Genomic DNA, 12,038 nt, shown 5'->3' with positions numbered 1-12,038 from the left:
CGACCCCTTCTTGGCGCGCGTCGCCGCAGAGCCCACCCAGGCGGGATAGAGCTTATGGATTGGCTAATGCCGCAGCAACTCCCGCCTGCCTGAGCTGTTCCCGGAGGTCCGCAAGCCCCCAGCCCTCCCATGCGGAAGAGTCTGGCTGGTGCAGAGGTAACGGCGGTCCAGGAGGTACTTGGGCGGGGCGGTGCTGCCTCTGCTGTTGCCATAGCAATGCAGTTGCCTTGGAGATGAGCACCTAAGTACCCGATGCTTAAATTTGGCTCCTCCATCCTCCCTCTTCCCACCTGTTTCCCACAGATGTCCAAAGCTAACCCAGCCTCTTTTATTTTTTGCAGGGCTCAACTTTTCCCTAGGCTCTGGACCCAAAGGCCTTCCACGTCCTTTGGAACCTGCTTACTTCCTTTATTCCCTCGCAGTCTGGCTCCTTCCTCCATCCTGGGTGACCAGTGGGTGCCGACATTGACATTCATATAAGAACACGGAGGAGGTGCAGGTGGGAGGAGATGGGCTCAGTTTTAGCCAACTTAAAATAGAGTCTGCAGAGCCCGTGGGACACAGGGGAGGTATTTGGGGACCCAGAGTTGGGGAACTGTGGGTAGATATGGGAGTTGAAGACACTGACAGCAAAGGGTGCAACTACAGTTCACCTAGCATAGAACCCTATGTGACCGTTAAAAAGAATGAGGCTCAGTGAAGTGAACTCATAGGGAAACCTGCCCACAACAAATTAGACGCAGGATGCAGTAGAAGGCTAAGAGAAGTCTGGAGCCAGACTTGGGTTTAAAGCCTGGGACTGACACTTGCTATGCGACCTTGAACTGATTACTTAACGTTACTCTGTACTTCGGTTTCCCAATCTGCAAAGCGGGGATAAGCAATTACATCCTTCTGTTTGATGTGAACATTAAATAAATTAATCCACATAAAGCACTCAAGCCAGGCTCGGTGGCTCACACCTGTAATCCCAGCACTTTGGAAGGCCGAGGTGGGTGGATAACCTGAAGTCAGGAGTTCGAGACCAGCCTGGCCAACATGGTGAAACCCTGTCTTTACTAAAAATACAAAAATTAGCCAGGCGTGATAGTGGGCACCTTTAATTCCAGCTACTCGGGTGGTTGAGACAGGAGAATTACTTGAACCTGGAAGGCGGAGGTTGCAGTGAGCCGAGATCGCACCACTGCACTCCAGCGTAGGTGACAGAGCGAGACTCCATCTCAAAAAACAAAAAAAGTTTAAGTTTTAATAGAACATTTTTTACAAGTATTAGCATAATATTAAAAAGATACTTTTTATAAAGATAATTTTAGACATGGGCAGTTACAAAAACAGTAGGGTTTTCATGTACCCTTCACCCAAACTTCCCTAATATTAGCGTCTTAAATAAACAATAGAACAGAATTCTCAACCAGTAGCGATTTTGTTTCCCAAGGGACATTTGGCAACATCTTGATACATTTTTGGTTGTTACAACACCTTCAGACATTTTGGAACAGGAGATACTACTGGCTACTGGCATTTAGTATTAGATGCCAAGGATGCTGCTAACATCCTTCAAGGCACAGCCCCCACCAAAAGAATTATCCAATCCAAGGGCTGAGTGTGGTGGCTCACACCTGTAATCCAGGGCTTTGGGAGCCCAAGGCAGGAGGATCGCTTGAGCCCAGAGTTGGGGACCAGCCTGGGCAACATGGCAAGACCCTATCTCTACAAAAATAATTCACTGGGTGTGGTGGCACGTGCCTGTAATCCCAGCTACTTGGGAGGCTGAGGTGGGAGGATCTCTTGAGTCTAGGAGTTAAGAGGCTGCAATTAGCCATAATCTTGCCACAGCACTCTAGCCTGGGTGACAGAGGGAGACTCTGTCTCAAAAAATAAATAAATAAATAAAAATAAAAGGCTGGGTGCGGTGGCTCACGCCTGTAATCCCACCACTTTGGGAGGCCAAGGTGGGTGGATCAAGAGGTCAGGAGTTCAAGACCAGCCTGGCCAAGATGGTGAAAACCCATCTCTACTAAAAATACGAAAATTAGGTGTGGTGGCGGGCGCATGTAATCCCAGCTACTCGGGAGGCTGAGGCGGAGAATTGCTTGAACCCCTGGAGTGGAGCTTTCAGTGAGCCAAGATCGTGCCACTGCACTCCAGCCTGTCTCAAAAAAAAAAAAAAAAAAAAAAAATCCAACCCAAAAAAGTCAACAATGCCAAAGCTTAGAAACCCTGCTATAATATAATTATCAACACTAAGAAACCAATATCAATATAATACTATTAACTAAACCACAAATTCCCCCCAATCCTGTTTTCCCACTAGTGTTTTTATGTTCCAGGATGGGTGCTCACTGTTCCTGGAGTGTCACTGTTTCTGGTCCCTCTAAGTGGATAGAGCAAGGAAATATACATATGTATACACACATCTATATGTATCAATATATCTGTTAAACGAAAACCATGAATTCAGACTGATGCCTCCAAATCCAGTCCTACAAGGTTCATTTTAAGCATTCCCATCTCCTGTTTTATTTGTAACTTCCTTCTCCACAGTGAGACACCCAGCTCTCATTATCTACAAGTTTACTTATTTGTTCAACCCTGTTTGTGTGTATTACATGGGCCCATGTGCCCACACCCACACACACAAAAGTAGTTTCAAAATTGCTAAATCATGGCTGGCCCAACGGCTCACACCTATAATCCCAGCACCTTGGGAGGCTGAGGCGGGCGGATCACTTGAGCTCAGGTGTTTGAGACCAGCCTGGCCAACATGGTGAAACCTTGTCTCTGCTGGAAATACAAAAAATTAGCCAGGTGTGGTGGCTCGTGCCTGTAGTCCCAGCTACTTGGGAGGCTGAGGCAGGAGAATCGCTTGAACCCGGGAGGCAGAGGTTGCAGTGAGCCGAGATTGCACCATTGCACTCTAGCCTGGGCAAAAAGAGCAAAACTCCATCTCAAAAAATAATAATAAAAAATAATAATTAAAAAAAAGCACAGAAAAGCAAACTATGGAATGTCATATAAATATTACGGGACATATAATTATCCCCGTATGATAAAAACTCTAGGTTATTCCAGAAAGTTTCTAGAGTCACTCAAATGTATTAATGCCCACCACTGGTGGGAGGAGTGGTATAAGAAATAAGAAATTCAGGGCCGGGCGCAGTGGCTGACACCTGTAATCCCAGCAATTTGGGAAGCTGAGGTGAACGGATCATGAAGTCAGGAAATCAAGACCATCATGGGTAACATGGTGAAACCCTGTCTCTACTAAAAAAAATTAGCTGGGTGTGGTGGCATGCACCTGTAATTCCAGCTACTCAGGAGGCTGAGGCAAAAAAATCACATGAACCCAGGAGGCGGGGTTTACAGTGAGCTGAGATCATGCCATTGCACTCCAGCCTGGGCAACAAGTGTGAAACTCCATCTCAAAAAAAAAATTTTTTTAATTTAAAAAATAAAACAGGACAGGAGCAAGGTTGACACAAAGAACTGTGGCCAGGGGAACAGAGGGACAGTTGGTCTCCTGTCTACTCACACCTAGAGGAAGAATACAGCAAATAACATTATGTGCCAGGCATCCTGCTATTCTAATTGCGTGGTCTCATTGAGATGTGGGTGCCACTGTAGTGCTCATTTTTAGAGGATGAAACTGAGGGTCGCAGAGGCTGAAATCCCACTGCTAAGGATCAATCAAAATTCAAATCTAGTCGGTCTGACTCTTGAGGCTGGGATCATGTAGCCACACTTATAGTGCCACACTGCCTCACTGTCTACTATCACGTTTTGTCTTGAAAAGAAGTGCTAGGGCCAGGCATGATGGCTTGTGCCTATAATCTCAGTACTTTGGGAGGCCAAGGCTGGAGGATCACCTGAGGTCAGGAGTTCAAGACTATTTTGGGCAACATAGGGGAGACCCTGTCTGTACAAAAAATTTCAAAATGCCAGACGCGGTGGCTCACGCCTGTAATCCCAGCACTTTGGGAGGCCGAGGAGGGTGGACCACTTGAGGTCAGCAGTTTGAGACCAGCCTGGCCAACATGGTGAAACCCCATCTCTACTAAAAATACAAAAATTAACTGGTGTCATGGGGCACGCCTGTAGTCCCAGTCTCCTGCCTCAGGTGAGGCAGGAGAATTGCTTGAACCCAGGAGGCAGAGGTTGCAGTGAGCTGAGATCGTGCCACTGCACTCCAGCCTGGGTGACAGAGCGAGACTCTGTCTCAAATAAAATAAATAATAATAATAATTTTAAAATTAGCTGGCGTGGTGGTACACACTGCCCAGCTACTTGGGAGGCTGATGCAGGAGGACTGTGTTGAGTCCAGTTCAGGGCTGCAGTGGGCTATGAACATACCACTGCATTCCAGCCTGGGTGACAGAGCAAGATCCTGTCTCAAAAAAAGAAAAAAAAAAAATGCCAGGAACTGTGGATGTTTAAACATGCTTTAAACTCATTTATACCTCCTCACAATATGCCGATTGAAAGCAGACATGAAGTAAACGCAATTATTTCCAGTGGATAAGGAAGTAAAGGCTTACAGAGGTTAAAAAATTTTGCCTAGTGTCACTCAGCTGCTTGGTGGCAGAGCTGACATTCCACACATGGTCTGTGTGATTTCAGAATCTGAATTCCTAACAATTACATCTACTGTCATTAGCCGGAGGTTCTTTGGTTTATTAGGGTGACAATAATCCCAGAGTCTCTTGACCTTCAGACACCCACAGCAAACCCCAGAGCTCTCTCTGGGCTCCCACACAGACTCCCAGCCTGCTGGTCTACTCTGCCCTCATGGATCCAGTTGATCAGAGCTCTTATTTTAGCAGCTGCATGCTGATGGTGCAGTGATGACCAAACAGCGACTGATCCACCCATCACTAGACAGCTGTCATACAGAGACAACAACAAAGCAACATCTAAGTCTTTATTAAGGTGAGTTTTTACAAACAAGCATCTATCCCAGTGTGGGGGATGAGGATGGGAGAGGAAAGCGGGGCAGGAAGATGAGGATTCTCATCTATTGATAATAAAGCTCCAGGTTCATCCCATCGTGGATTTCATCTGAAGGAAAGGTGTTAAGGAATCCTGACTCTGACTTCCGTCCCCACCCCTCTCATCCATTCACAGCCGGGTCAGGTGGCCTGAGGTCTCAGCCCAGGGCTAAGGAAGCCCATTTTGGACCAGGCCATTTTTATTTGGAGAGAACCAAAACTTTACAAAAGAATTTCTGGCTGGGTGCAGTGGCTCACACCTGTAATCCCAGCACTTTGAGAGGACGAAGCAGGTGGCTCACTTGACGTCAGGAGTTTGAGACCAGCCTGGCCAACACGATGAAACCCTGTCTCTACTAAAAATACAAAAAGTTAGCTGGGTGTGGTGGTGGGCACCTGTAATCCCAGCTACTTGGAAGGCTGAGACAGGAAAATCGCTTAAACCTGGGAGGTAGAGGCTGCAGTGAGCCAAGATTGTACCACTGCACTCCAGCCTGGGCAACAAGAGCAAAACTCCATCTCAAAAAAAAAAAAAAAAGTTTCTGTTCCTTCTAGGCCAGGCACAGTGGCTCACGGCTATAATCCCAGCACTTTGGGAGGCCGAGGCGGGAGGATCACTTGAGGCCAGGAGTTTGAGACTAGCCTGGCATACATGGTGGAACCTCATCTCTACTAAAAATACAAAAACTAGCAGGGAGTGGTGGCACACACCTGTAATCCCAGCTACTTGGGAAGCTGAGGCAGAATTGCTTGAACCCGGGAGGTGGAGGTTGCAGTGGGTCAAGATCGTGCCACTGCACTCCAGCCTGGGCGACAGAGCCAGACTGTCTCAAAAAAATAAATAAATAAAATAAAAATTGTAAAAAGTTTCTGCTCCTTTTGCACAATAGATATGCCTGAGTCTCACCCCACCCTGACCTACTGTCCAGCACTCAGGTGGAGGTCAGTAATAAATATTTTGAACTTGAAGTCAAACTATTTCACCAACCACTCTCCTCCCCAACCAAATAATTACCTAGCTCCCATTTTCTAAGTGCTCACCATGTGCCACGTATTAAGTTAAACACTTAATATGCATAAGCTCATGCAGACTTTAGTTTTGAACAGATAACCGAGGCTGGGTATGTAGATGCTTCCTCAAAAAGTCACACAAAGGATACAGTCCCCCAGAGACACGTGGTCCTTAAAAATCGTGTACCTAAGAAAAAGAGACATTTCAGAGATAAGGCTAAGGAGGCTCTTCAGTCTGTAGGCCAAATGAGGTAGCCAAGCCTAAGCAAAGGGCTGCCTGCAGCGCTCCCCCAACCAAAACCTTCCGGCCTAGTCCAGTCCACCCAGTGGCTCTACCGCTGCACTCACCACTTCTTCAGGACAATCTTGTTCCAACGGGTACCAGTTTGGGCTGCAATCAGCTTCTTAAGGTCCCCGATGGTATCATCCGTGCTGGGCGCAGAGCAGTTAAGGCAAATGGAAGCGGTAGAACGAGGAAGAGGACATTCTAGGGCAGAATACCATCTGCCAGGACCCCATCCGCCCCCTCTCCCGGGTTTAACTAAAACCATCCGACAACACAGATTGAGTTGCCTGCCTCACGCCAAGCACCCCTGCGGGTACCACTGCCTCTCGGCTGCCAGTGGATACTTGCATTTAACGCGGACCTTCTTCCCCAGACGGTCGTTGCAAACAACCTCGATCATCCTAGCTGGAGCTACACAAAGCGGGGGGTGGGTGGGAGGCAGCAAAGTCAGAGCTTCAGGCGTCTCCCAGGCCCAGAAGCCCCAGCCTACAAGTCTCCCAGTCCCAGGCCCTAAAATTCCAGGTTACTGAGCCTTCCGTTCTGCCCCCAACCCCCCGGACTCGAATACTCCCAGGCCCCAAGTCCCCTGTCCCAGGGCCGCGAACCCCGGGGAGCCGCGCCTCCGCCCCTTCTCGCCGCCTGAAAGCCCTGCCACAAAACTCCCTGGCCTCACCTCCCACCGACCCCAGACCCTGGGTGGCTGGGTCGCGACAGCTTTCTCCGACTCCGAGCCTCTCCGCTTGACCCCCTCACCTCGAATCGCCTCGAACCTGCCGACGCCACCAGCTCCTCACCCGAGCGCTGAACCCCGGTCGCAGTTAACGCTAGGAACCGGAAGCGGAAGTTAAAGTTCGAGGCCGGAAGCCCTGCCCCTAGCCAGGGGGTGTGGTCAACACTGGGACAAGTTCTTCCGGGTCTGCAGTCTGTGGTGTGTTTGCTGTTCCCAGGTACGGTTTCGGTGTCCCAAGGCTTGACAGGTGTCGCGCCTGTGGTAGGCGCGCCGGGTAGAGAGGGGGGCCTCGGCGGGTTTGTGGCCAGGGAAGGGGCGTGGAGCGAGAGTCAGAGGTCAGGCGCCGGCGCCCAGCTCGTTTGAAGTCATTGTTTGTTGCAGGGAGACTCGGTCACATGGTGGGGACGCCAGAGGGTCCCGGGAGTAGGGGTAAGCTCCTGATCCTGAGCCCGAAGCCTCTTGCAGCGGCAACTAGGAGCAAGGGCGGAGGGTGGGGGTGGGGGACGAGTTCTGCAGTCATCCCTTCTGACCCCCTGGGTTCATTCAGGGCTGGGCTTGGTGAGCATTTGGCTCACCTCTTCCCTCTGGCCATCGCGTTCCCCCGGGATACGGACTCCAGTCAGTAGGCGAAGCTTGATCCTAGAGTAGACTCTACGCTGCCCAACAGCTGCTGTTACCGCATGGTGCCGGACAGTTCCAGGCTCTTGGTGTCCTGAAGAAAGATTTGGACCAGACACACAGAGATGGCAAAGCTGCAAGTTTATTAAGCACAGTATTCCACTCTCGGAGTGGGGAGAGCGGACTGACCTCTGCGAGATAAGATCAGCCCCAGCTTGGTATAGTTTGGGTCTTTTTTTTTTTTTTTTTCTGAGACGTAGTCTCGCTCTGTTGCACAGGCTGGAGTGCAATGGCGCGGTGCCGGCTCACCGCAACCTCCGCCTTCCGGGTTCAAGCGATTCTCCTGCCTCAGCCTCCCGAGTAAGTAGCTGGGATTACAGGCGCCCGCCACCACGCCCGGCTAATTTTTGTACTTTTAGTAGAGATGGGGTTTCACCTTATTGGCCAGGCTTTTTTTCTCTTCCCAAGGCTGCCTAATATCTAGCCAGTGTCTACCTTTTTGAATGATAGGTGTGTTGCTTACTTTGGCCCCTGTGTGCTTGAGAGCCGCCTCCATTCATGATATGCCGTCCATATGCATGAGCGCTAATGAGCTGGTTATCCTTATCATGTTAAGGATACTTTTTGTCTTTAATGCGCGTGCTTATGCCTAAAGAGCTGCTCCTTACTGGTTTGGTCCTGATTTCCCCGGCCGTGGGATTTTTACTGTTTTTTTTTTAATTTTATTTATTTATTTATTTATTTATTTATGGAGTCTCGCTCTGTCGCCCAGGCTGGAGTGCAGTGGCGTGATCTGGGCTCACGGCAAGCTCCGCCTCCCGGGTTCACGCCGTTGTCCTGCCTCAGCCGCCTCCCGAGTAACAGGGACTACAGGCGCCCCCCACCACCCTCGGCTAATTTTTTTGTATTTTTAGTAGAGACGGGGTTTCACTGTGTTAGCCAGGATGGTCTCGATCTCCTGACCTCGTGATCCGCCTGCCTCAGCCTCCCAAAGTGTTGGGTGTGAGCCACTGTGCCCGGCCTTTACTCAGTTTTTAATCTTCCTTTTGTTTTGTCTCCTCAGCTTCTGCCATTTATCTTGCTTCTTGCTGGGTGAGCAAGAAGGGGCGGGTGCCCTTTCACCTTGCTTCTGCTCTCTGCTTTTACGTATTTTACCCTTTATCCAACTTTTAATTCCCTTTGCTATTCTTCTGCCTCATTTTCCCTATTCTCCTTTCTCACTGCCAGTCACCAACCTTAAATGCCTGCGAGGTAACTGGAAACATTGCACATTTGCACAATCTCCTGCAGCTGTATCTTTGGGGAGCACTTTGTACCAGATTCCAGGTTTGTGAGGGCTGGTGGGACAAGGACCGTCCTTCCTCAATTCAGTCAAACAATTTGTAAACCAAAAAGTATCTGAGACAGGTCTCAATAAATTGACAGGTTTATGTAGACAAGGTTAAGGACAAGCCTGGGAGAAAAGGAACACAAAACCCCAGGAACAATCTGTGATCCGTGCTTTTTTCCAAATATGATTTTGAGGGCTTCATTATTTAAAGGGAAAAGTGGGCTGGAGGGGAAAGAGGGAGAGTATGGTCACATTATTTAATCTACATGAAGAATACTCCATTATGTATTCATTTGGTGCTCAGTAAATTGGCACTTTCCATAACATAAAGTAAGCTACCTGTGGAGATATCTGGCCTTTAAAAAAAAATTTTTTTTGAGGCTAGGCACAGTGGCTCACACCTGTAATCCCAGCGCTTTGGGAGGCTGAGGTGGGCAGATCACAAGGTCAGGAGTTCGAGACCAGCCTGGCCAACATGGTGAAACCCCGTCTCTATTAAAAAAAAAAAAAAAAAATTAGCCAGGTGTGGTGGCAGGCACCTGTAATCCCAGCTACCTGGAGGCTGAGGCAGGAGAATCGCTTGAACACGGGAGGCGGAGGTTGCAGTGAGCTGAGATCGCGCCACTGCACTCCATCCCTCCATCCTGGGCAACACAGAGTGAGGCTATCTCAATTTTTTTTTTTTTTTTTTTTGAGGCAGAGTCTCGCTCTGTTGCCCAGGCTGGAGTGCAGTGGAACAAACTCAGCTCACCACAACCTCCCGTGTTCAAGCGATTCTCCTGCCTCAGCCTCCTTAGTAGCTGGGATTACAGGCACATGCCATCACGCCCAGCTAATTTTTGTATTTTTAGTAGAGACAGGATTTCACCATGTTGTCCAGGCTGGTCTCGAACTGCTGACCTCAAGTGATCTGCCCACCTCGACCTCCCAAAGTGCTGGGATTACAGGCGTGAGGCACCGCAACCGGCCTATTTGCTTTTGAATGGCAGGATCCAGAGACTAAAACCCCCTTTTACTATCGTTGAACTATACTGCTACAGTGGTTTAAGAATTCTCCAAGGCCAGGTGCAGTGGCTCAAACCTGTAATCCCAGCAGTTTGGGAGGCCAAAGTGGGCAGATCACCTAAGGCCAGGAGTTCAAGACCTGCCTGACCAACATGGAGAAACCCCATCTCTTTAATTTTGTAAAAATACAAAATTAGCCTGGCATGGTGGCGCATGCCTGTAATCCCAGCCACTTGGGAGGCTGAGGCAGGAGAATCGCATGAACCAGGGAGGCGGAGGTTGCGGTGAGTCGAGATGGTGCCATTGCACTCCAGCCTGGGCAACAAGAGAGAAACTCCCAGGATTACAGGCATGCACCACCATGCCTAGCTAATTTTGTATTTTTGGTAGAGACGGGGTTTCTCCATGTTGGTCAGGCTGGTCTTGATCTCCCGACCTCAGGTGATCCGCCTGCCTCGGCCTCCCAAAGTGCTGGGATTACAAGTGTAAGCAACCACACCCAACCTCTCTTCTGTTTTTCTGTGCTAAGGTCTCATAATGTTTATCCCGTGTACTTTGCTTAAAAATTCCAGAAACTGGCCTTGAAAATCTAAATATAGGCCAGGTGTGGTGGCTCACACCTGTAATCCTGGCACTTTGGGAGGCCAAGGCAGGCGGATTGTGTGAGTTCAGGAGTTGGAGACCAGCCTGGGCAACACGCTGAAACCCCGTCTCTACTAAAATACAAAAAATTAGCCGGGCGTGGTGGCCTGCGCCTGTAGTCTCAGCTACTTGGGAGGCTGAGGCAGGAGAATTCTTCTCTTGAACCCAGGGGGGCAGAGGCTGCAGTGAGCCGAGGTCACGCCACTACACTCCAGCCTGGGAGACATAGTGAGACTCCGTCTCCAAAAGAAACCAAACAAAAAAAAGAAAATCTAAATATAAAACCAAGGTTGTGGAACGTCCCATCCCAGGGAAAGAATCCACAATCCTGTTTTGGTCAAGCTGACACCTGCCAGACCAGCAGGTGGCCCATTACTCAAAATAGTAATGGAAACCAGACATGCTGACTTGTGCATCTGAACTCCATGTCCTGACCCCCTAGCTGCAGCTGTGCCTCGGTAGAACACCCCTTTTCGTTCCTGTCTTGATGATTGTTGGAGCACTCTGTAAGTTTCCCTAATAAATGCTTTGGACTGATTGCTCTGGTAATTGGTGTTTTCTTGAAATCCCCACTGGCCCCATCTTGGGATGATTTAGGGCATTCCTTTGTGGGAATTCCCCTGCCTCTGCTTTTGGGGAGACTCTAGCCGGGATGAAACAGATTGGAAGGTCAAAAGTGAGCTGAGGGGGCTGAGGTGCCTAAGGAAGTTTAGAAGCAGCACATCTTTGCATTCTCTTAGAAATCCTGGGTCACAGCCAGGCACGGTGGCTCACACCTATAATCCCAACACTTTGGGAGGCCAAGGTGGGTGGATCACTTGAGGTCAGGAGTTCGAGACCAGCCTGGCCAATTGGGGAAACCCCATCTCTACTAAAAATACAAAAATGTGGCAGGCGTCTGTAATCCTAGCTACGCAGGAGGCTGAGGCAGGAGAATCGCTTGAACCCAGGAGGCAGAGGTCACAGTGAGCTGAGATATGCCACTGCACTCCAGCCTGGGCAACAGAGTGAGACTGTTTGAAAACAAAGAAATGCAGGGTCACACAAGCATTGACTGTAGTTACCACTTCATGGTAGGATTACTGAGAGTCTCATTCTCCCTTCTTTTTTTTTTTTAATTTTTTAATTTTTTAATTTTTTTTTGAGACAGTGTCTTGCTCTGTCACCCAGGCTGGAGTGCAGTGGCACAATTATAGCTCACTGCAGCCTCCAATTCCTGGACTCAAGGGGACTCACCTCCTGGGACTTCAGGCGTGCACCACCACGCCTGGCTGATTTTTTTAATTTTTGGAGAGACAGTCTCACTATGTTGCCCTGGCTGGTCTCAAACTCCTGGCCTCAAGTGATCCTCCCAAAGTGCTGGAATTACAGGCATGAGCGACCACACCCGGCCTCATTTTCCCTCTTCGTGGTGTTTTTCCAGATTTCTGA

The 12,038-nt window shown here is 49.2% G+C and overlaps 1 protein-coding gene and 1 long non-coding RNA gene across 3 annotated transcripts, besides 3 other annotated features; one reads left to right on the top strand and one right to left on the bottom strand.

Annotated features, from left to right (window-relative positions):
* PIN1-DT (PIN1 divergent transcript) lies at nucleotides 5-941 on the top strand. The gene is made up of 2 exons (NR_183873.1): nucleotides 5-156; nucleotides 342-941. It is a non-coding gene; the product is annotated as a PIN1 divergent transcript (long non-coding RNA).
* Nucleotides 4,905-7,102, bottom strand: UBL5 (ubiquitin like 5). 2 transcript variants are annotated; one of them, NM_024292.4, is made up of 5 exons: nucleotides 6,956-7,102; nucleotides 6,627-6,693; nucleotides 6,345-6,428; nucleotides 6,146-6,183; nucleotides 4,905-5,055 (listed from the first exon to the last, which is right to left on the bottom strand). In NM_024292.4, exons 2-5 carry the CDS (start codon nucleotides 6,680-6,682, stop codon nucleotides 5,012-5,014), a joined length of 222 nt encoding a protein of 73 aa, NP_077268.1. In that variant the 5' UTR covers nucleotides 6,683-6,693; nucleotides 6,956-7,102; the 3' UTR covers nucleotides 4,905-5,011. The 2 variants fall into 2 exon arrangements, with proteins under 2 accessions (NP_077268.1, NP_001041706.1); NM_001048241.3 differs by having other exon boundaries at nucleotides 7,036-7,102.
* Nucleotides 6,796-7,520: an enhancer, noted in NCBI's record as "H3K27ac hESC enhancer chr19:9938176-9938900 (GRCh37/hg19 assembly coordinates)". NCBI's record gives its function as "activates a minimal SCP1, AML or CMV promoter by ChIP-STARR-seq in primed H9 embryonic stem cells {active_cell/tissue: H9 hESC(primed)}" and the evidence as "EXISTENCE:reporter gene assay evidence [ECO:0000049][PMID:30033119]".
* Nucleotides 6,986-7,292: a silencer, noted in NCBI's record as "fragment chr19:9938404-9938710 (GRCh37/hg19 assembly coordinates)". NCBI's record gives its function as "represses an EF-1alpha promoter that drives an FKBP-Casp9 reporter gene in an ReSE screen in HepG2 liver carcinoma cells {active_cell/tissue: HepG2}" and the evidence as "EXISTENCE:reporter gene assay evidence [ECO:0000049][PMID:32094911]".
* Nucleotides 7,336-7,385: an enhancer, noted in NCBI's record as "active region_13935". NCBI's record gives its function as "activates an Ori minimal core promoter by ATAC-STARR-seq in GM12878 lymphoblastoid cells {active_cell/tissue: GM12878}" and the evidence as "EXISTENCE:reporter gene assay evidence [ECO:0000049][PMID:35858748]".

The sequence above is a fragment of the Homo sapiens genome, chromosome 19 (assembly GCF_000001405.40).
Source record: "Homo sapiens chromosome 19, GRCh38.p14 Primary Assembly".
NCBI lineage: Eukaryota > Metazoa > Chordata > Mammalia > Primates > Hominidae > Homo > Homo sapiens.
This window is presented reverse-complemented; position numbering and strand designations above follow the sequence as displayed.

Excerpts from the sequence above, each read along its gene's own strand:
- UBL5 (NM_024292.4), bottom strand. The coding sequence starts at position 6,682 with ATGATCGAGGTTGTTTGCAACGACCGTCTGGGGAAGAAGGTCCGCGTT. Across the intron at positions 6,429-6,626 it reads AAGGTCCGCGTTAAATGCAA|CACGGATGATACCATCGGGG; the intron begins GTATCCACTGGC and ends CTCTGCGCCCAG. Across the intron at positions 5,056-6,145 it reads CCACGTGTCTCTGGGGGACT|ATGAAATCCACGATGGGATG; the intron begins GTATCCTTTGTG and ends CCTTTCCTTCAG.